General features: G+C 38.4%; 1 protein-coding gene and 1 long non-coding RNA gene across 10 annotated transcripts in view, besides 1 other annotated feature; one reads left to right on the plus strand and one right to left on the minus strand.

The window, feature by feature from the left end:
- The window catches only part of LOC107986633 (uncharacterized), a 39,745-nt gene extending 26,063 nt beyond the window's left edge, over positions 1-13,682 (plus strand). The window contains exon 2 of the long non-coding RNA XR_001744299.2: positions 13,269-13,682. This is a non-coding gene — a long non-coding RNA (uncharacterized LOC107986633). The remainder of the gene's footprint in view (positions 1-13,268) is intronic.
- The window catches only part of LAMA4 (laminin subunit alpha 4), a 147,055-nt gene that overhangs the window by 34,121 nt on the left and 88,341 nt on the right, over positions 1-24,593 (minus strand). For all 9 annotated transcript variants that reach the window (XM_047418770.1, XM_047418769.1, XM_017010854.3 and 6 more), the window contains exons 13-20: positions 23,109-23,225; positions 16,681-16,829; positions 13,514-13,655; positions 12,800-12,896; positions 8,460-8,576; positions 6,106-6,285; positions 2,743-2,882; positions 68-241 (exon numbers count right to left, since the gene is read on the minus strand). In XM_047418770.1, the coding sequence (XP_047274726.1) occupies positions 68-241; positions 2,743-2,882; positions 6,106-6,285; positions 8,460-8,576; positions 12,800-12,896; positions 13,514-13,655; positions 16,681-16,829; positions 23,109-23,225 (1,116 nt within the window). The remainder of the gene's footprint in view (positions 1-67; positions 242-2,742; positions 2,883-6,105; positions 6,286-8,459; positions 8,577-12,799; positions 12,897-13,513; positions 13,656-16,680; positions 16,830-23,108; positions 23,226-24,593) is intronic.
- Positions 21,541-21,590: an enhancer, noted in NCBI's record as "active region_24961". NCBI's record gives its function as "activates an Ori minimal core promoter by ATAC-STARR-seq in GM12878 lymphoblastoid cells {active_cell/tissue: GM12878}" and the evidence as "EXISTENCE:reporter gene assay evidence [ECO:0000049][PMID:35858748]".

A 24,593-nucleotide genomic window follows, 5' to 3' on the forward strand; every position in this document is an offset into this window, starting at 1 on the left:
TTTAGGCAAGAGAAAAAGCAGCTTTCCTTGTAAATATTATTCCCTCCTTTCAAACTCATGTGCTTACGTTTTTGCTTCCGAGGTACAGGATAAACTGATCTGCAGTCTCGGTCAGTTCCGGCCGCTTCACAGGGGGTTTCATGTACAGGCTCAGAGACGTGAAGGCCTTTAAGTCATCCATACTGGTTCTCGAGTGCACTTCCACAGCTGACTGGCCATCAAACATCATGGAGACTTGGATCTGGAGTGACACAACGGTTTCATTAAAAGTGCTTTGCAGAAATGGGCAGAGTGCTTTCCCGTGCTTCCCTCATTCGTGACAGGGGCCTATAAACTCTCTTCACCTCCATACCTGTAGTTATTTACCACATCCTCCCCTAGTTGAAGAGAAGACTTAGGGCAGATTGTGACACAGTAGTTTAAAGTGGGGTGAAAGAAAGCAAAAAAAAAGTGGTGACTAAGTAGATCCAAGAATGAGGATAAATATGAATTCCACCATGAACAGTATACTTGGTTTGGGTGAACTAAACAACTTGCTCAAGTTGTCTGGTCAGTATACAATTCACAAGGCTCATACAATTTATACAAAACTAATTGTTTGGGAGAAGTAGAACTAATTTTGGTTACTAATACAGCTGGGACTTTGTCCCTAGGGTCCTCATAAAAGGGACATGGGGTGAGGCTGTGAGCAACATCCTTGCCCTTGTCTACACAGTTGGGAGGGGTCTGGACTAGCTTTGTAGTCTCAGACCAGGTGGGCTCTACCACTTCCTAACTATGTAACCTTGAGCAAGTCACTTAACCTTCAGTTTCCTCATCTGTGAAATGAGGATAATAAATTTGTTGTGAGCATGAAATACGATAACTATAAAGTGCTTTCCAGTGCCTGGTCCTACCATTATAATAACTGTAATAATGAGTTCATAAGGTGCCTCTTATAATGGCTCACAGAAAGGCATCACAACAAAGCACAATTCAGTAAGTGCATTTCTAAGAGGCCCAATATGATATGCTGAGCTGGTCTGATTCAGGGATAATTTTTAGAGTATTTACAAGTGTATGGATTGTGTATACTTATGTCATTTATCTGAATCTTTCCAAATGATTAGGCATCTTTATATTAATTTATTAATATTGATTTGGCTAATGTGGGTGGTCAGTGAGCTCAAGGCTCTATTTCCAAATGACTGGAGTGCAGCTGTCCTATGTTATCAGTTGAGTAAAAACTAATACTTTTTTTTTTTTTTTTTTTTGAGACACAGTCTCACTGTCACCCAGGCCGGAGTGCAGTAGCACAATGTCAGCTCACTGCAACCTCCATCTCCCAGGTTCAAACAATGCTCGTGCCTCAGCCTCCTGAGTAACTGGGACTACAGGTGTGCGCCACCACGCCCAGCCAATTTTTGTATTTTGGTAGAGACAGGGTTTTGCCATGTTGGCCAGGCTGGTCTCAAACTCCTGGACTCAAGGGATCTGCCCACCTTGGCCTCCCAAAGTGCTGAGATTACAGGCATGAGCCACCGCACCCGGCCAAGACCAATACATCTTAATAAACAAGCAGTGTGGGGGATTAAAGTCTTACATTAATAAGTGAGAGTCTGAGAATAGTGCATGTCTGCATGAAAAGCATCCCACTTGGGGGCACTGAGTGAGCTCCCAACTCCCAAAGGTGGGGCTAAGTCTGTCTTTAGCAAATGGTCTTAGGTGATTAAGGTCCCAAAGTCATACTCTTTATAGAAATAATATTACAAGAAAGCACTCATAAAAACCTAGCTTTTAGAATGCCATTTCTTGATGTACCTTTAGATAAACCTTTTTTGAAAATGTTCACTGGGGCATCTAAATAAGGTAATTTGTCACAAGGGACCATTTATCATCATTTAAAAGTCAGGTCTATTTACCAAGAATAATCTTCTACATTACGAAATAGTTGATTTCTAACTCTTCTTTCTGTCAGTAATTAGGACCAGTAGTCTGCTCAGGCCGATTCTTAACTGAGAAAATAAAACCATATACTTTGGTCATAAAAAGTGAGTCTGGTCTATGAATCAATTAAAAAAATTCAAGAGGTCCAAGAACAAGCTCCACTTTGCCACATTGAAAAGTAATTGCTATGTCAGGAGATGTTCCTACAAATGCCAGCCCTAGTTATCTTCTGCTAAGTTGCTTCTATATGTGTCCCAAAACACATATAGTGTGTTTGTTGAGTTTATTCCTCTTAGCCAGTATGTGATTCCTCAGTTAACCCTGCGGGTGGTCAGTAAAAGCTTCTGCATAATTTGTGTTGTACCAGATAATTTCTTGAAGGGGTAGGACAGATGGGATAGATTATTCCATTATGGTAATTGCACTAAAGCAGCTGTTAAAATAACATAAAATATAAGAACGAATTGAGGCTTTTATTGAGGCTTTACTTCTTTTGCTATATTAGCTTTATTGACTAGTTTAACTCTGTGGTTTTTAAACCTGGCTACACATTAGAATAACCTGGGAGCTTTAAAGAACATACAGGTACTGAGCCCTTTCTCTACAGAGTCTGATCTATTGCTTTCAGGTTGGGACCAGGAATTGGTTTCGTTTTCAGTGTTCCTCACGTGTTTCTAATTAGCAAATGGGGCTGAGAACTACTGAGTTGGAGAATACAGCAGAAAGGTCCAGGCTCTGGAAGCTGCCCAAGCAGTTGGAGCTCAGCTTCGTGTTATTATTACCGCTGACTGACTGATGAGTCTTTTCATCAGTTACCTTGCTGGCAACACTTCTGGTCTGAGCAATGAGCTCTCGGATCCTCTGGATGCTGGCAGAAACGTTGCTTGCAGGTCGCTTCTGCTCAACCGTACGAAGCTGATCCAGGAGCTGAGGGACAACCTCGGTCAGATTTCTTACTGCAGTTAATAAAAATTAATCATTTAAGAAAATAACTCAATATTATATTTCAAGAATCAGATGTAGACAATAAACATGGATTACATATGGTAGAACTAAGAGAAATGATTTTTAATCCTGCAAAATTAATAGTAAAACCTGTAAGGTACACAGATGTGCTTTGATCAGGGAATAGGTTGAGGCAGACATCTGGGCCAGACGGACTCAGCTAGTTTAGGGCACAGGTGCATACTCCATTTGTTATATAACCTGTTTGTGTAAGCTCATACTTGGCTCACAGCCACTATTGTTTGAAAATGTATAACTGCCCTGCCGATGCCATGCACAGGATGCGTGCTCTTGCGCCCAGAGAAAGAGAGAATGCCAAGGCCGCCTGTCTTGCAGACGGACAGAGGGAGAGCCAGGGCTCAACATGGCTCAGGCGTGCTGGTGCCCAAAGAGAGAGTAACGCTACTGACCCCTGTAGGGGAGAGCCAGTTGCCTTGAAGGTAGGCATGGGGGAGCCAGGAACTGGCTTGTACCTGGAAAGAGAGAAAGTTAAGCTGCTAACCCTGAAGGCAAGAGCAAGCCGACTGCTCAGCTGTGTGTGGGAGCAGCCAGAGCAAGCAGCCGAGACAGAGCAGGCAGTGTGAGAGAGCTTCTGATGAGAGAGCTGCTGAACAGAACTATATTTCACCTGTCTACATCCCTCAAGTGTTCTTTCAGCCACCCACCCACTCCACTCAGACCTCAGTATGGGCTCGAACCTGACCCCGAGCATGACATTTGGCATAGTCGTGGACCTAACAAAGCCCAAAGCACAGTTTGTTTCTATTTTTGTGACATTTATAGTACTTACTGATCTAAAAATTGTATCTAGAGCAGGCTTTTTCTAAAGGGCAGGGACCACGGTATATATACAAATGTTCCTTTAACCATATAGCACAGGTTCTGCTTGCATTTCTAATATAACTGATATAACAGGTCAAGAGGAATACTGGGAAAAAAGGTAGGAAGATTGTTTTCCACCTTTTTTCCTTTTCTATGTTTTCTTCCTCTTCTATGTTTTCTAAACATAGAAAAGAGCGCAAGTCAGATGGGCTTGATGGCTCACACCTGTAATCCCAGAACTTTGGGAGGCCAAGGCTGGTGGATCACCTGAGGTCAGGAGGTTGAGACCAGCCTGGCCAACATGGCAAAACCCCATCTCTACTAAAAATGCAAAAATTATCCAGGTATGGTGGTGCACGCCTGTAATCCCAGCTACTCGGGAGGCTGAGGCGGGAGAATCGCTTGAACCCGAGAGGCAGAGGTTGCAATGGGCCAAGATCGCACCACTGCACTCCAGCCGGGGCGACAGAGCGAGACTATGTCTCAAAAAAAAAAAAGCACCAGTCATAAGAATACAGCTTGATGAGAGAAACTCAAAACAAAGAGAATGGCATAAATTTTTCCAGAGTTTCATTGACTGAACAGTGGTTCTTAAAGTGTGGTTCCCAGACAAGCAGCAGCAGCATCACCAGGAACTTGTCAGAAATGCAAGTTCTTGGCCCTGTCCCGAGCCCACTGAATCAGCAGTTCCTGGAGTGGGATCCAGCAGTCTGTTTAACAAGGCCTCCAGGTGATTCTAATGCACACTAGTATTTGAGAACCATTGGCTCAGAGACGAAATACTTTTGAGGTATTCTCTTTCCTAAGGGCAGGGCCATGGTCATTAAGCATTAGTAGCTGGGCAAGAGCAAGCGTCTTCCTAGAGAAAAACTAAACTCACATTCAGGAGACTATGTCAGTGCAGATCAAGGAAACATCCCTTCTCTGTACTTAGGACACACGATGTTTCTCCAGTGCAAGGAATAGAATTAAGTAAAATAATAGCAACTATCAGTTTATTATATTGATTAATACAGAGGTAAATATTTATTGTTTGGATCACTGACAACGACATTTATTTTAGAGTATACTAGTCTTTAAAAACTAGAGATAATATACTTAATGAATTATGTTAGATATTGATTATGGAAATGTTTATAAGACAGAGTCCCCCTGCTCCCTACAATCAATTCTCTTAGAAAAAGGGAGCCACCTTATATTAGAGTACTTATAAAGTGTCTTACATTATGGTATCCTCTTTCATTTCCTTTGTTTTGAACCACAAAATGCTATTTGAGAAAAGCACAGTAAACAATTTCAATTTTTTGAAACTTCTGGATGCTTATTGGAATCACTTGATAAGACTGGTAAAAAATGGGAAAAAAATGTAACAGATTTGGTACATATTCCCGAGGCAATATCATTATAAATGTAATAATTGAATTTCATATAGGCAAATCTTTTAAAGACAAAATTTTAAAAGCACTTCCTTGAGTGGTTACATGGAAGAAATGAATATATACTTAAAAGATCATTATAAAAGAGCTATTTTACTGTTATGGGAATGGGTATTTGTAAATTGGAATAAAATTTGTACTGACAGATCATATATGGATTTATGACCTTTCTTAATTCAGATACAAGTGAAGGTAGTATTGTTTGCAAAACCATATTGGAGAACAAAAAGTTCTAGTCATGATTTGTCATGATATTGACAGACATTGCTGTTTAAGAAGTTATGAAGGGATTGGATAAAAATGTGAGAATGGAAAAAGCGAAATTTCACAAGTACTGCCTGGTTCTAATATCTACAAAATAAGTTAGGTAGACATGAAAATATTTCATTTTCATTTCTATAGAACTGTATATTCAAGTTGGCCAACACGCTGTTCTTAATAGAAAGCTGGAGTTATGTTTGGCCATATTCAGTACTTGTTGGTAATAACCTAATTACTCAGATAAAGAAAAAGCAATGTTGCCTAGTAGAAGCAATGCCATTTAGTAATTTTTTTTCTAAAAGCTAAGCAGTATTTTGTTAAGATTATTTACCCAACATTTGATTAACCTTGTTCCCTAAAAGATAAGTCTTACGTTGATACAATTGCTACCATAATTTCACATAGAAAAAATTATGACTCTTTACCAATCCATCTAGTGTTCATACGAAATATATGTATGTTTCTCATATGTATTTAGACAGGTATAGATAGATAGATAGATGAACAGTGCAAAAGCTTTTCTTTTTCTAAGCTAACTTCTATAATTTTCGAATCCAAAACCCAAATGAAGAAAACTGTTTTTTGACAAAAGATGTATAGAGTTTAATGGCCAATTCCTTAATTAGATTCAAATTGTGAAATTTCTAAGTGATACCTGCATCCCTAGCAGAGTTCACTGCAGTGTTGTAAGCAGAAGAGTCAAAATGTTGAAGATTCTGTGACCAGTTGGTTAGATTGTTGGCCATGGGGGCAGTGGCCTGCTGCACCTCCATCGTCGTCCTGTTGGCTTCCTCGGTGATCAGTCTAGACTGCCCCAGGCGCTGCTGGGCATCCCCTTTACACAGAGCACAGGGTCATTCACTTTGCAGAGAAGCCGGATATTTGTTGGGGAACATTAACACCCCTTTAACCCTTGAATGAAACAGATCTCACATTTTGGGCTCTTAAGCAAAAGTAAGATTTTTGGATAACCATGTGGCTCACCGAAAACATTTCCAAATTAAGAGGTAAATTTAAAAAGAAGAGTAATTGTATTTCCTATAACCTGGTAAGAAAGCCATAGAAAATGCACATGAGATTTTAACTCATAAGAGGTTTGTGTCTGAAATTAATTGCAAATATCACTGTCTTTTATGAAAAAGTAGGCTTGTGGAACACTTCTGCCATAAAAATGATTCTATAGAAGTTAATCAATAAAGAAAGATATTTTTTTAATAGAAAAAAAGCAAATTTCAAAGAGTTTTAGTAGTGAATTCCCATTTTTGTTAAAAATTACATCTTTAAAATAACCATGATGTAAATTTACAACAAAAAATTTTGTCTAGGGGATGGGATTATAGGTGATTTTCTTCTTTTTTTCTTATCTGCATTTTCTAATATTTCTATGAGAATTATTTATTATTTTTATAAAAATAATTATAATTCATTTAGGTGACTTTATAACTTCAAATTTTATAAATTTGAAGTTGTGCCCTAATTTGGTTATTGGATTGGTTATATGACCTAATTTGGTTATTGGATTTCTTTGGCCCCAACTGTAATGTAATTAGAACTGTAAAACAATTATAAATTTGAAGTTATACCATCACCTAAGTGAATTATAATTATTTTTATTATAAAAATAATACTTAATTTAATAATATATAAATAATAAATAATTTATTAAAGTGAGGATATATTTCATTTAGCCTCACATATTCTGGATTCTGATAAATGCTAGTTTCAATCCTGAATCTGCTTCTTACTGGCTGTGCCTGTTGCAGCAAGTTCCCTAACCTTCATGAACCTCAGGGTTCATATCAGCCTGAAGGCAGTAGTGGTACTTATCCCCATGACATAAAGTATTAATATGGTTGGCTGTGTTCCCACCCAAATCTCATCTTGAATTGTAATCTTCCATAATCCCCATGTGTCATGGGAGGGATGGGTGGGAAATAATTGGATCATGGGGACAGTTTTCCCCATGCTATTCTTGTGATAGTGAGTTCTCATGAGATCTCGTGGTTTTATAAGTGTCTGGCATTTCCCCTTTGCTCAGCAATCATTCTCTCTCCTGTCACCCTGTAAAGAGGTGCTTTCTGCCATGACTGTAGTTTTCCTGAGGCCTCCCCAGCCATGCAGAACTGTTAGTCAATTAAACCTCTTTTCTTATAAATTACCCAGTGTTGGCTATTTCTTCATAGCAGCGTGAGAACGGACTAATACAGCTATGTTGAACACTTAGGACAATGCCCAGCTCACACTAAGCATCAATAAACAGTCATTCTGATGACGGTGATGATGAGGCTTCTCCATGAAGGACCACTCTCCTGGCCAGAGCTTTGGTGCACTGTAGCACTGTAGCTAGGATTTGCTCATTCTAGTAAAACACCCATATGCTGCACTAGTTTTTTAACTTTCACTGCGCGAAGGAAGGCACATCTGCTTCCAATCACATCTATCTAAGATACCACTGCAGTCCCAGATTAAGCAAAACGTGTGCTTTTGTTTCTCTATTTGGGCTTGTTGGTCTCCCTGGTTTCTATTTGGTCTCTGGGCCTGTTGCTTATATGGTAAGAATGACTTGACATGTAACAGAGGGAAGCTGTTTACAGCTGGGCCAAAGAAATCCAATAACCAAATTAGGGCATATTGTTATGAGGAAGGATGTTCATAAGAAAGCCATTACCAAACACTATAAACAGCATGATCCCATTAAAAGACACACACACACACACACACACACACACACACAGACACACACAGACACACACACACAGAGGCAATGCTGGAAAAAAAGGCTCTCAAATCTAAAGGTCACCTCTACGTGGTGTGATTACAGCATTTATATTTAGTTTCTTCTTTTTGTTTTCTAGAACTTTTTTTTGTGATGAACGTATTTTGTCATCAGAAAATAACATTTATGTATAAAATCATTGACAAACAAAGAATTACCTAATCCTTCCTTGAAGGTTTACCTTACACTCCAGTGAATCAACAGATGAGACTTCAATTCTCTCTGATGCTTACCTCTCTCTGCTGCTTGTAGTTGCTTAACGGCATCACTGAGTCTGGTTTTAAGGGCACTTTTCCTTGCTAGGGCTCCACCCACACGCCTGCTAGTGTCAGCCACTGCTTCATCACTGCCTGTGGAAGAGCAGCAGAAAGAAGTACTAGTGGAGCCAAGATGCCTCGAAAAGGATTCCATTTCAACAAGGAAACTTCTCATTTGTACGATGCAGTCATCTGCAGTATTTGCAGTATTCTGAATACTCTGAACATAGATCAACAATTCTGGAAAGTAGCATTTAAAATTCGAGGTACAGAATTGCAGAACACTTGTAATACTGCTTGTGAGTGACTTAGGATGCCATCATGGTTACTTTCTTTGATTGAAACATATAGCCCTGCCATGACTAATAACACCAAGCAGCACAATTGTTAAAGAGCTGAAAAGAAAAAAATCTCTCTCTCTCTACATATATGTGATAACGACTGGTTATAAAAATAATCCTTGTTTTCTTATTTGTTTCAATAAAATTTTAATTGCAATATAACATACATCTAGAAAAAGGCACCCTTTATAAATGCACAGCTTGACAAAAATGTTCACAAAATGAACACAAAACATAACCGGCATCCAAGTCAAGAAAATAGAAACTTATTACCACCTTTGAAGCTCCCTAGAGCCCCTGTGATAACCCAAAGATAATCACTTTTTTGAATTCTATCTCCATCTGTTTGTGTCTGTTTTTAAACATTATTCAAGTGAGGATATGGTATTATAATCTTTTATATCTGTCTTAATTATTACTATATAGAGCTATAATACACCTTGATAATGTAGTTTGTCTTCCAGCTTTGTTTTTATTCTTCAAGACAGTCTTGGCTATTCTTGGCTTTCCCCTCTCATTTCCATATAAATTCTAGAATATTCAGTTCAGGTACTTTAATTAATACTGAATTAAATCTGTAGATGAATTTGGGAGAATTGTCATTTTTACACATTTTAATCTTCTACTCAATGAATATGGTATTTATTTATCATTTATATATAAATTCTTGTTTAGATCTTCATTTATTTAGATCTTTATGCGTAGCAACCTTAGCTTCTTTTATCAGATTTATTCCTATGTATTTGATGCTATTGCAAACACTGTTATTTTTAAAAGTTAATTTCCCAATGTCGTATGTAAAATTAAATCGGATTTTTACACATTGAATTGGTAATGTAGGGTGTCCTTGTATTGTTTCTAATATTAGTGGAAAAGCATTCAATATTTCCATTTTAATTGCTGAATATTATTTTATTTTTCAGATTATGGAAGTTTCCTTCTATTCTCAGTTTGCCGAAAGTCTTTTTTAAAAGTCAAAAATCTTTTTTAAAAGTCAAGTTTGTTAAATAATTTTTCTGCATGTAGTGAGATGATCATATGAATTTCTCCTATATCCTATAAATGTGACAAATTACAATTGATTTTTTAAATGTTAAACTATTCTTGAAATCCTAAAATAAACTCAAATTGGTCATCATATATTGCACTTTATAGGTGTGCTAGATTTGATTTGCTAATATATTGATTAGAATTTTTGCATCTCTTTTTGTGAGAGAATTTGGCTTATAATTTTCCTTTTTAATAATATCCTTATGTGATTCAAGTAACCAAGTTTTGCTGGCTTCATAAAACAAGTTCCAGAGTGCTTTCTTGTTTTCTATTTTCTAGAAGAGCTCGTATAAAAGTGGTGTTATTTCTTCTTTAAATGTTTAAGAATTCACTGGGGCAGCCATCTGAGCCTTGAGATTTCTTTGTGGGTAGGGATCGATTAGTGGTTAAATTTATTATACATATGTATGTACATACAGTTCTATCAGATTTTGTATTTGCATCAGTTTTGAGAGTCTTTTGCTTATAAAATTGTTCTTGAAAGCACACTTGTGGCACAGTCACTAGACTGGTTATCTTTGAGCAAATCCCAACAGATCATGATGTAATTACCTCATCATCTGAACTAAAGGATCAACTTTGCCAGTAATTCTTCATTTCTGTTTGTGCTTTAATTCCAAAGCACTGAGAATTTTGTTTCTTAACAAACAGAAAAATAGTTTTATCACTTCTAATTACACTTTTCTCTTTCTCTCCAATGGGATTGTAAATATACACTCTCTGACGGCACCCCTTTGCTGTTCTATTAGGTAGTCTTGATGTGATTGGTTTAATGTTATCTTTCCCCCCCAGATATGTGTATAATGGGTGGTGGTGTCATGAAGTACAGTTAACCAAATACAAGCACTTCTTTCATATTTTCTCTGGGTAGTGTGAAGAATTTGCATTGCACCCTGCCTCCTTCCTCTTTTCTAATTTCAATTCCCAAACATTATAATACAAACAATGTTTTAGCTCTTATTTTGGGTCTCATGACTGCAAAAACAAAAAAAAATACTACCTGATATACTGAGAAAGAATATATTTAACTCTATATTTGGAGCACTTGATAAAAAGAGGAGGAAGAAAATCAATTTTGGGCTTGATGTTTATAAGAAGAAATGTTTCATAAGAAGTGTGTTCTATTTGGAATTTACTGACTTGCATAAATACTTTTCATTTTGCAAATGAGTTAAGTAGAAGATTCATTTAAATAGCAGCTTCCTGAGATTATATTGACTATCAACTATTTGATATATAATGAAAAGGAAATTTGGGAAATAAAGATTACTGATCATTGAAAGGAATTTGGAATGGAGAAATGTAATCTGAAATTATAATGTAATTCAGTAGATGACTATGGTTTAATTTGAAAACCTGAATGTACATCACAAATGTGTGTATTATCAAAGGAAGACAGTCCTATAAAGTTCTAAGCCACACAGTACTAACTCCCTGTTGTTGTTCCTTTTGCAAATAAATACAGAAAGGGATTTGGCCAAATGAGATCATGAAATAGGTGAACAGGTCTGCAAAATATTCAAACAGGCTAATGCAGAGAGATTTATCAGACATAAAATATGGAACTTTGAAGGGATGTGGGTAGGGATCGATTAATGGTTAAATTTAAAATAGAAAAGTTGCTTTTATGAGGTTCAATAACTCAATAATGACAAGACTGAGAGAATATATTACAAGTTATCAAAAAGAATAAAATATTTAAGTCACTGTGTCATGAAGACTGACACATTCTGATCTTCACAAGAAACAAAAGCAATACATAGATATAGCAACATTTATTTTAAAATATTTTACTGTTAATATTCTAATTCTTCACTACTGATATTCTAATCCATAGAGTATGTTCAGGATAGACTTACATAATAAATTAATTAGACATATAATAATTAGACTAGAGAAACAATGACACTTTTTATTGCCTTTGTTTGCCCAGAAAAATAAAATAACAGTTGTTTTATGGGAAATAAATAAGTATCTGTGTATGAAAAGCAAAGTGCATTTATCTTCTCTGTGTAATGGCTCTTTGCAAAAGATAAAGAAAATGCATGATTAAATGAGATTAATTACTTCAACAAAATTGGGTGAGGTTTTTAGTTTCAAACTTGGCCTTTGTTTTTAGGTGGCAGTTAGAAGTTCGCTAGATGATGAATTTCCAACCTCATTAGTCAATGTTCAAAAATCCTTGGGAATTAGTTCATTATCTCAGAGATGAATAATGTTTAGTGAATTTCTTAGTCCATTCGATTGTTTTTAAGAGTAACTCACAAGATTCAAAATTGTCTAATGCGATTTTGCTTTTATTTTTCCTTCCCTCCCTCACCCTTGGATGTGCACACTTCAGCAGATGCAAACACTGGCCTTTGGAAATGCTTCTTACCATATGCTTGTTAGGTCTGTCCTAAATACAGTAACCTATGTAGAACACAAACTACAAAAAAAAAAAAAAAAAAGAAAAGCAAATAACCAGATGGCTTTGTGGTACCCTGTCATCCTAATTGACTCACAGTGATGACTCGTTCCTTCATGGGAAACATTTTAAAAGGACTTCGAAATTGTTCAAGAAAGAGGAAATTTTGTGCAATATAGTTTTAGTGTTAAGTGTATTTTAGGACATTTTTCCCCTAAAAATTGGTATTTATGGTAAGTTTCTATTAATCAGCCTATTTGATTAGCAGGAATAGCCACAGTATGTGAGATAGCTATGTGTTTCCATGTAGTTTACTACATAGCATTTTTTTTTTCAATCACAATTTAAAGTATCAAATCTTTGCTCTTTTGTAACTTGACTCTGAGCAGGAACTACTGATATGTTATGTAGTTATAATACTATTCTTTAATCCTAGATTTGGAAATCTCTGTCTACGTGTATGAAAGGAGGGAAGCAGCTATAAATTAGAAAGGAGATAGGAAAGTGAAGATATTTACTAGACTCTGCCTTTGCTTGCAGTTCTCTGGCTTGATTGAGGAGGTTCTCACTTTCATCTTTATGGTAAATGATTTGAGTATCAATCCCACTCACCGCCTACAAAGGAATTGAGAGAAGAGGGTAAAAATGACAGCAGAAGAAATCAGCTATTCATAGTTGAAGGATTTAAATGACACAGTTTATCTGCTAAACACCAAGCAAAATGCATTTAGCTTTATTTTCACAGCTTAAAATTAAGGTCAAATATGTGACCATGAGGAAGTAATGCCTTTGGCATTTTCAAGGTAATGTTTTTTTGGGAAAGATTCAGTGAACCTAGAACAAAGCCCTGGCCAAGGCCCCACCAAAGTGCTTGCCACATAGAAGCCACACAATAAATAATTTTGAGTTGAAAAAAATATAAATGAATGCATAAAGTATCTTCTCTATCAGCAAGAACTAATTTTAAATACATATTTTTTTTTTCAGGGACTTTGGCTAAAAAAATAAACTGTCAAAGGAACTGGCATTTGCTGACTGGACTACAGCACATCTCGAAGAATCTGCAGACTGAAACCTTCAAGGCATTCATGAAATGGTCTTCCCTTAGTTCCCCTGCCTTTTCCACTCTTTCTGCCATTTGGATTTCACACTGGAAGTTCAAGAGATGACATCAGAAAACAGAAAAGCCAGTGGGAAAGGCAAGGTATAAAGAACTTTCAGGGAATACTCACATCATAAATTCGGTCAGTGGTGTTCAAAGCAAATTCTGCTGTTTCATTGGCTTCACTAACATAATTAACAATATTTTCATAGACATTTGATGCATCCAAAGCCTTCTGTACCAGCCCGTTCATATCTGAACTGTGCAACTTCCTGTTAATAAACAAACATTGTTATTTCTCCTTCTTACCTTCTTGGGGAATGGGGCCATGTTTAATGCTTGCTTTTTAAATACTTCTAGGATCACAGATGCTTCCTTCCTGTTATTCAAAGTCACCTAGTGTGGCAAGGTTTTCTTGAGGGTCACACCTCCTCTGCATTCTTCTGTCTTTGCTGAACAGCATTTTGGTTCTCTGACAGCTGCCTGTCTGGCAGTAGCAGCAGGAAAAGGGAATGACGATTTAAAAACAGCCCTCTGCACTTCTTCTTGCAGGAGTTTGTTTATGTGATGGAAGTCAGGCAGAGGAATGAACCATTATGATGACTACCTAGTGCTTATCCAAATCAGCATTGTTATTTCCTTTCTGTAGAGGAAGCCAAGGCTCTAGGAGAGTATGCAGAGCTTGGCCAGGGCACGTATTGTCAAGGTTTGTTTCACTCCTGAGGCCTGGCTGCATCCTGGGCCTCAGGAGTGAGACAGCCCCAGCCCTTCCTCAGCACACAGCCCCACCTCAGCCCACCCTCACCCCTGCCCTTTCACACGATAGTCTCTGCCTTTGCCCCTCTCTGGCCTGTGTAAGGTTCATCCAACATTTACTGAGTACCCATCACACAGGGTACTTGCACACTTGCACACAGGGGCTAATAATGTGAGATATAACAGGAATAAAATATAGAAATGCTTGGTATACCATGCCTGGCATCTGCTAATCGTCAGGGTTTATTATTATACCTACACCATTTCCTGAATTGGGATTTTAAAACTCTATGTGTACCCGCATAATTTATTTTATTGACAAATACTTCTACTGCCTCTGTAATATAAACTCTAACCTCCACTTCCGCAGTTCGTCTAAATCCTTTGTCTTAATTTTATTCAGTCTTAAATCCACCAATTCCTTATTTTTTTTTCTCAGTCCCAAACATCGATGATTAGTATCATCACCTCATTTGTCAGTAACTTCCAGAAGGTCCTCCGTGACCCAGTATATGACATTGCAGATCCCACACTGGCTCCTGTCTTCAAACCGCCTGACCTGTTGAGCTCGGTAATTGTTCCTCAATCTCCAGCATCCAGTTCCAGTCCCTGTGTGCTCCCTTAGAGGGACTTTCTCTATATTTCTTTGGCTACTTCCCTCTCTGTTAACCAAGTCTATAATCATTCTACCCCCTCTACAAAAGGGCTGACTCATCCATTAGGCACAGCGTTTTCATTTTTTTTTCAATCAGAAGGAAAAAATGAGGATAACAATAATAATGGTATTAATCTTTATACCAATGCAGACATGAAATAAAGGTTTTACTTTTTCTATGGAGAAAGGAACCCACCAAGGCAAAAGTGTCTAGGGCCTATAGAAGTCATGGGGCTCTGCTCTACAGAGGGGAGTCTAATCTAAATACTCACTACCTGTTCCTCCCCACAACCCCTTCTGAGAAAATGGCCTCAGATAGCAAAATCTGGGGAAGGCAGACAAGAAAACATTTTTTAAAAAAGGGACAAAAGAAACAAAATGTTACAAATATTTATTAATATTTTAAAATTTTGCTGGCGAGAGTGGTAAGATGTACCAAAGATCATGAAACAAAGCCTTTATTACTTTGCTTTTAATACTAGGCACAGAACAAGTACTAACTCAGTATTCAAATTAAACATGTGCTATTGAAATGGAAGCTTCTTAATGAATTTTGTTTATCTTTGTTCGAGCATAGCACGTAAATCATTGTGTACACCAGACAGATATGGAAGGATACTCACCTTTTGAATGAAGATGTCTCTAAGTTGAAATGCTTTCATGAATATATAGTCAGAAATATTCTAAATACAAAAGGACTTGAGGGTGATTGATATTTTGGATCATGTTTCACGTAAAGCATGTAGTAACTGTCTTAGAATCATGCTGGAACACTGTTTGTTGCAGAGTGGCATTATACACAGAAGTTATATTTTGGAATCCCAATGAATGGGATGTAGGTACAAAATGACAAAAGAATAATGAAGAGAGCCATAAGATGGATCTCAAAAACAACATTCTGCTAATATAGTATATTATCAAAATAGTGTTTTTTCTAAGCTCCATTTTATTGCCTTCATCAAAAGCTCATGTTTCTAGGGCCATGATACCGAGTGGGATATGGCACTGTCTCACCCACTGACACACCAAGATTTTATATGACCTCTCTCTTTCTTTTCTTCTCTCTTCGTAGGAGATTTGGAAGAGTGTTTGAAAATTTTGGCAATCAAGAATAAGAAGGTGATTTATATTTTGAACAGAAGTTAATATTGGTTCTTATTTTATTAATGACCTTTACTGGTCCTTTTTTCCTAGTCTTTCTCTATAATGATCTCATTATTTGCCTATTATTTCAGGGTCATGAATTCAATTCTGATCTTTCAGTACTTTTCAGTTAACATTAATTGAGTGTCCAAGAGGTGTGTGATTCTATTCTAGGTGCTGGGAGGAAAATTGCCAATTGATTTTCTCTTAACAGGTGTTGAAATCAAATAGTTCCTGCTGGGCACTGTGGAGTATTTATCAGAAGTCAGTTATATTGCCAATTCCCGACCAGTTTTACTTAAGACACTTGGGTGTGGAAAGATAATGCTGTCTATGAAATAAATAGGTAATGTTAGAATTAGACCTTCTAAAGGGATCTGATTTATTTGACAATGTTTTATACATTGTCTTTGGTCATCCTACTAAAAATTGTGGAACAGACACCCCCCTCTTCCCGGAACACAGACCTTTAATATGACAGATTTTTTTTAAATAAAAAAGACCAGCTCCCCCAAACAATTGCAATGAACAATGATGGACTCTCAGATGGAACAACCAACCAACCAACCAACCAACCAAGCAACCAAGGAACCAACCAACCAACCAACATATCAACACATAAGCATACCCAACCTTAATCAACCTGGTAAAATTGTATCCCAGTAGTTCTGACATATGGAATTGAATAGTAATATTTTATTCACCCCATGTAGATATTTGCATTTCTAAAACCAGGATATTACCTGCTCAATTCATTAGCTTCTTGTTGAAGGTCCTGTGCATGGTCAATAGCTTCTTGGACTAAATCATGGCTGAGGTTACTTAGGTTAGATAGTTTTACTTGTAGTTCACTTTTGGCTCCATCTATTTCTGCATAAATCCCTGACGCATTCTAAAGAAAAAAATTTTAATAAATACATTGAATTTAGAAGAACTTAAAACATTTTTCCTAGGCACCAAAAGATAATCTCTGTTCTTTCTTATTATGAAGGTCAGTAAATTTCAGTGCAGGACCACATAAGTCTAAAATACTGTAAGTATATGTCTATTTATCCCGCATTGCCAGCTCTTTCTTCTGTATTGATTGCTTCCCTAGCTAGCATTCACAACCCAGAAATGCTCTACCATTTCAGACCTAAAAACTAAAACTAAACTAAAACCTTCAATTATCCACACATGTCCCTAATGTTACTACAATACTTTTCTGCTCTCTTCATAGCAACATATTTCAAAAAATGGAAGTTGTTTATATATGTTGTCTCTATTTTCTCTCACTTTATATTTCCTATTTTGACCTAGTCCTGTCTGATTTCTACTCCATTACTCTACCAAAAGAGAAGTTAATTACATCTAAGTTACTAAATCTAATGGACATCATTCAGTTTTCATCTGACCTTTCAGTTACCTTTCAGGTGACTGACTACTTCCTAAAAATCACCTTGTAACACAGGCTCTCTTGGTTTTTAATACAACCACAGACCTACGATTTTGCTTAAAGATCGTGCAACTGTGTAGACGGATGTTCCTGCAAACCCGTGAGTTTCAGCCTTGGCTGGCCCCTCAATGCTGCAAAGAGATTTGTTCTCCTAGTCACCCAAATAGTGATTCTAAACATTGTCATGATTCCTAAGCCAACATTTCCTTCACCCACCCCCATCTGATTGTAAACAGATCACTTTATTTTCTTTTTTATTTGGAGGTCATAAACTGTTAGTGGGGGACACTTCTTCCACACTTCTGATGTCTCCTTTATATGCAGGGAGCACAGTGAGTGAAACTCCAGACCTCTCTACCCCTTTCCTCACTCTACTCCTGTGAGAGGGGAGTGGTTGATTTTGTGGGTAAATTTGGGAAGAATAACTCTATAGGCTCTGCTCAACTCCACCCTTCTTTGTCCTGGGAGCAAGCTGCCAGCAGAAAGCCTGAGTTTTCCTGTGTTCCTCCATGTTAAAACTATTCTGGGCAGAACCCCCATCTAAGCCTTACGGTGTTGCCTGTCTGGGTGGGCACAGCTGCTTAATACTGGGACTGAATGTCAGCTACCCCACTTGGCTAAGAGACCTAAAGCCATGCCTGCTGCTTAGCTGCTTCAGAAATAAGGCAACCTCCTTGGTCTCTGTATTTACTATTTTATTTATGTTTCCACCTGTTTAGAACTTGGGTTCTGGAAAGGGTCACTATTTATTGGTTAACTCCCTCAGAGACTCCAAAACCAATGAACAGGTATTTCCCCAGCTTTTTGCAACCAGCCCCCAGCCCTTCCCCGCAAACTCTATAGATGTATTTATAGCTACACCTACACAAAAATTTCTCTCCAATTTTAAGAGGAAAATGTTCATTTTCTGTATAAAGCATGCTGCCCCATTGTCTTGGTAACCCCGTTATTCATTCTTGCTTTCTAGCTACTGACTCTTCTCAGATATAAACATGCTCAAGTATCTCCCGTCAAAAAACAAAACAAACAAACAAACAAACAAAAAACCTTATTCTTTCACTTTAGGCTCCCTTCTAGCTTTTTCTCTTGCTTTGACACAGTGCACTTTACAGAAATGTTTCTTGCCAAGATCACCAACACCTGGCCCCAAATCTCCAGATCCACTTGACATTTTCCCATCCTTATTTACTGGACCCATCTGTGGTTTGCTACAGTGTTGGCCACTGTCTTTGCTTAAAACTCTTTTCTTTTCCTAGCTTCTGTGACTATGCTATCTCCTGGGTCTCCTCTTTCCCTGACCAAGAAAGAGACCGTGAAACTTGGCATTTGACTCCCAGCCCTTTCCTCTCCCCTGAGTGATCTCACTTCTTTCTCTGAGGGCAGTCTTTGAGTATTCTAATCCATTCTCCACTGTCTTGCAGGAAAGGTAATCTTCCTATTAAGAAAATCTGACCATGTTATTTCCCTTCTCAGAATCAGCCAGTTGCTTTGCAGGAATGAGTCCAATTTCTAAGCATGACATCATCAGCTGACCGCTCTTCTCTCACCAATTTCATCAATTCTCATGACCCCCAACCTGCTATATCCCATGGTCTAATCTTGACCAACTGGTTGTTGTTTTAATGCTCCACAATTTTTTCTGGTCTCTTACCTCTGCAAATATTTTCCCTTTCTGGAATAATTTTCCTTTATTTTCTGTCTAATCTACCTGGAAAGCTCTACTCCTCCTTTCAAATTCAGCTCAAATATCACTTCCTTTTTGAGGCCATCCCTAACCTCCTCAGGATGAGTTAAGTGTTGCCATGTGTTTTTATTATTCATTCATGTGTCAAATGATTGTAATAATTTTAAGTGATTATTTAACTCATCACATCATACAATCCTAGGAGGCAGGAACTGAGTTTAACTTATTTTTGTAATCCCAGAATGTAGCACAAAGGGTTTGTAGTACAAAGGGTTTACTTTTATGGAGGCAGTATTAAACCTCTAGCCATTTTGGTTGGTCATCTGGGGAACAATACTTTGAAAAAAATGTTTTTAATTGTATAAGTGGAAAATAGACCATGGACATACCACTTTTACTCATTCATTCCATCAACAAATATTCCCTGTGTGCTCATTATGGACCAGGAACTCTTCTGGGGGTAGAATACCTTTGAACACAGTCTCCACTTTCAAGGAATTTACAGTTTAGTGGGAGAGATACAGGTAATAAACAAGTGATCAAACAAGCAAACAAGCTAATTTCAGGGAGTAAAAGATATTTTGAATAACATATGACAGGTGGGGTGGGATGAGGAGTGAGTGGGGTAAGGGGTTCATTTGGATGTCAGGGTCATAAGGACACCAGCCATTTGAAGATCTGAGGGCAGCAGGTGCAGAAATCCTGAGGCAGGAAATAAGTATGGTATATTTGAAAAATAGAGAGGAGTTTGTTGGGCTGGAGTGCAGTGAGTGAGAAAAGAGTTGGGTATGTGGTCAGAAAAGTGGGTCTGAGCTGGGTCATGTAGGGTCTCATGGGCCATGACAAAATGAGCTTGTTTCTTACTTTAAGTGCCACTGGGGAGTGTCTATAGTAGAAATAATGTTGGTTATGTTTTTAAAGGATTGTTCTGCTACTGCATAAAGAATATGTCTTGAAGGACAAGAGTGGAGACAGTTGGATCAGCTAGGAGGCTCTGGTGGCAATTTAAACTGTAGATGAGGTGACTTGGACCAAAGAGCAGCAGTAGAGACAAGGAAAGTGGTCAGAAATCAAGATTCAAGGCCTGGTGTGGTGGCTCACGCCTGTAATCCCAGCACTCTGGGATGCCAAGGCAGGTGGATCATCTGAGGTCAGGAGTTTGAGACCAGCCTGGCCAACATGGTGAAAATCCATCTCTACTAAAAATACAAAAAATTAGCCGGGCATGGTGGTGGATGCCTGTAATCCCAGCTACTCGGGAGGCTGAGGCAGGAGAATTGCTTGAACCCAGGAGGCAGAGGTTGCAGTGAGCCGAGATCACTCCATTGCACTCCAGCCTGGGCAACAAGGATGAAGCCACGTCTCAAAAAAAATAACAATAAAAAAATAAATAAAATAAAATAGAAAGAAAGAAATCAAGATTCATTTTAGAGATAAGGAGAAAGGAGAAAGCAGTAGTGACTCTGGAGTTTTGATTTGAGCAATTGGGTTGTGCCATTTATTGAGATGGAGAAGACTGGGGAAGGAGTGGGTTTTATTTAAGACATGTCAAGTTTGATATGTCTATTATTAATACATCATAGATGAGACTGTGACTTTATTACAGTCGTACTGAGTTCTGACTTGAAAATGTCAAGTTAGCACTCGGATATAGGAGTTTGGAACTCCGTGGAGGTGTCATAGCTGGAGGTATAATTGTGTATTCATTGGTGTGTAATTGTTCTTTAAAGCCAAGGGAGTCAATGAGATCAGCTAGGGAGAGAGTATAGGTAGAAAAGAAGGCCTAGGACCAAGCACAGAGCCATTCATTATCCAGAGCAGAGATCAACATGGCCCAGTGTCAAGTGCAGCTCAAATCTTTTTTTTTTTTTTTTTTTTTTTTGAGACAGGGTCTCACCTTGTCACCCAGGCTGGAGTGCAGAGGCACCATCACGGCTCACTGCAGCCTGCACTTCCCGGGCTCAAGTGATCCTCCCATCTCAGCCTCCTGAGCAGCTGGGACTGTAGGCATGCACCACCACGCCTAGCTATTTAAAAAAAAATTTTCTTTTTTGTAGAGAGGGGGTCTCACTATGTTTCCCAGGCTGGTCTTGAACTCCTGGGTTCAAGCACTTTCCCCCACCTTGGCCTCCCAGAGTGCTGGGATTAGAGGCGTGAGCCACTGCACCAAACCAAAGCCTGTTGAGCTGAGAATATATCTTACATATTTAAACGGTTGTAAAAAAAAATTAAAAACAAACAAAACCCAGAAAAAAATAAGAGACAGTGGTTGTACGTGGCCTGCAGAGCCTAAAATATTGACCACTTAGAGGGTGTGCAGAGGCGAGGCTAGCAAAGGGGGCTGGGAAGAAACCGCTAGCCAGGGTAGAGGCCATGAGCGGTACCAGAGCAGCCAGGACAAGGGCGCCACCTGGTGTTTAGAGGAGGGAGGGCTGAGAAAGCCCGGGAGAGACAGGCGGGTCGCTGGTGACCTGGACAGGAACAGTCTCAGTGAAGGGGATGGAACCCCCTTCAGAAACGGCCGAGTATAGGGGACAGTGGGAGTCTGGGAGGTAGAAACAGCAATGATAAGTCACTCGAGACATTTTGCTGTGAAGCTGAGCAGAATGGTAGGGCAGAAGTTAGAGGGGATGCAAGCTTTATAAAAGATTTTTTTACAGGGCTTTTTTCTTTTTGATATTTAAAAGATAGGAGATAGTACAGCACGTTTGTACGCTGATGGTAATGATTAAGTAAAGAATGAGAACGGGATGATTCAGAAGAAAGGGCATAACTTGAGGAGTGAAACCCTGCAACCTGTTTTCAAGGCCGGGCAGGAGAAGGAATGCTTACAACGGAGGGGAGGCAGAGGTGTGGGCACAGATGCAGGCGGGCCGGCGGATCTGGGGAGGAAGGATGAAGGGAGTTCTCTTCTCTTTGTTTCTAATTTTTCAGAAAGCAGGAAGCCAAGTCACCAGGCAGAACTGATAGCATGGGAAGTGGGTTCCCACCAGTCGCATGCAGCTGCTCTGGTATGGCCATGGTGCTGGGGATGAGTCAGAAATCTCAGGTAGGTACAACAGAGGAACAGGCAGATATGGTAGTTAAGGGTATTTTGAAAGAATTATTATATTTGATAATTTGAGCTGCTTAAGGAGGGAAGAAAGGACATGAGAGGGGTACGGTAAAAAAGGCAGGGAGGTCTCCATGTGGCCAGAGAATTACTGGAGTGGGCATTCTAGAATAAGTGAGATAGGAGATGGTGCTCTGGGAGGGAGGTGCTTGAAACTAGGGTTTGGGAGGAGGTACTGTTACTGAGGACAAGATCTGGGTATGGCCATAGGTGGGAAAACAGAGGTGGACTGGAGGATAAGCTTGCTGGAAAGGGCAAGTTCAAGGAGCTGGAGGTCAGAGAGTCGGTGACTTCATCCATATGGATTTTGCTGTCACCAAGGAGAGTGATGGGAGTCAGTTTGGAGAGAAAGACAGTTTGGTGCTGAAATAGTCAACGGACAATCAAATGACCTTAAAGTGATATCTTTCGAAAGGTAATAAAATGAACTAAGAGTAATTTCATGATAGTTCAGTTCACTGCATTTTATTGGAAATTTTCTACTTTTACAAAATGTGACTTTTATTGATTTTGAATGCCAGATTTATCAAACACAACTTTATGAGTGAAGAGTGAGTAGGATGGATCGAGAGCAGCATTTTCAATAGAACTCTCTGCAAGAAGTTCCACTATATTCAGTGGCGCAATGCCTGTTTCTGCACAATGCTTGTGCCACTGAATATAGTAGCTGCTAGCTATGTGGCTGCTGAGGACTTGAAAAGTGGCTAATGTGACTGAAGAATTAAAATTTTAATTTTATTTAATTTTAAGTAATTTAAATTTAAGTAGTCATATGTGGCTGGTGGTCATCGTACAGTGCAAGAAACTAAAACATTCAGTCATCTGATCTTTATAATGCCTGCTCACTGGTTAGATATGAATTTATTATTATTCTGTGACACTGAGCTGCTGTTGTAACCTGCTGGAAATACAAACCTGAACAAGTCACGTGCGTCCTTACCTTTATTATATCATCAAGTTCTGAAAGAGTTAGACGAGGTGTTGTCAGAGAGTCCGCAGATGTGCTCAGAGACATGTTCACCACTTCCATTTGTTCCCTCACTCTTTCCTGTTGTTTCTGCGGGAAGGAAGAGTAAGGGAGAGTGAAGTGAATATGTCTTTAGGGAAAGCGTTGGGGAGAGCAGTAAATGTCAACTTGCTCTCTTTGGACTCAGACAAATCTGGGTTCATATCCCAGCTCCATCCTTGCTGTGTGCCTTTGGGGAATGCTACCTGTTTGATGCTGCTTTCTCATTTATAATACAGAGATAACAACAGTAAGAATCTTGGGAGATTAGACATACGGAGGATTATTATAACACCGTCATTTCAAAGAGAGCTAGCGCCTTAGAGAGGGCATTTGTCTCTTTTTCCCAGAATATAAAAGAGGACTATGGAGAAAGGATTGAACACAGGCTCTATATTTGCAGTGATTGGAATATGAATTAATTCAAAAAGTATTTATCATGTGCCAGCCTTGGGCCTGACACAAACAGCCCATTTGGACAGGAACAGAGAATATACAAAAATAATCTTATTATGTCCTTTTAAAAATTAAAAATGGCCCTACTATTAAAGCATCAAATTTTAATCTTGCTTCATACCTCTCAGAGCTCTTTATTGTAAATGCTCAGATGTTTTGAGAAGGGAAAGTAAATACTAATACATGTCTTGATGAGTACTTTAATTTCTACCATCACTTTTAGGTTCTAGAGGCAGGGACATTGTGATTCTGAAGAAATATTATGGGGCTTCCAATGAGTTTAGAGTTTGAAAGAAACATAGAAAGAAACTTTAGGAGGGAAAAGTAAAAGACTCATTTTACAATTTGAGTGAAAAATGAGTTGAAGTTACCTTAGAAATAGTAACAAGTCAGAGTTGAAATATACATTATAGTGTAATCTAGAATATCATAGAAATAATTATAGAAGCCTAGATAGAGAAGGAAATACTTTAAAGCTTTTTAAGTTCATCTTAATGTCCTTTCTTACTCCCTGCAGTCTTTTCTGGCTTAAAGAAAAGGAAGAATGGAACCCATCTTCTCCAGATATGTTGTTATGGGGTAGGTGTAGGTCTAGAGACAGAAAAGAATCACATTTGAACATCCTCTTAATGCAAGAACATTTTTAAAGAAACAATTTTCCCTGAATATCCATCAAGCCTAATACAGTGTGACTATCTGAGATCAATTATTCTTATCTTTACAAAGACTGGGAGTTATACAGCAAAAGCAATACTGTAAAATATGTGTATTAAAATATGTAAAAGAAGGGAGTTGAAAAAAGGTTGGTATTATTTACCTCTCACAGAACTGTTTTCCTTTTACAGTGTTCTTTACCCCTTCTGTAAGTTCTCTCTGGGTGACTGCGGGAGAACACTGCTAACACCCTGAAGTCAGAGACAAACTTCAAAGCTGTGTGCTAATAGCACTGTATATAAGCTTATT

This window comes from Homo sapiens, chromosome 6, assembly GCF_000001405.40.
Source record: "Homo sapiens chromosome 6, GRCh38.p14 Primary Assembly".
Classification (NCBI taxonomy): domain Eukaryota; kingdom Metazoa; phylum Chordata; class Mammalia; order Primates; family Hominidae; genus Homo; species Homo sapiens.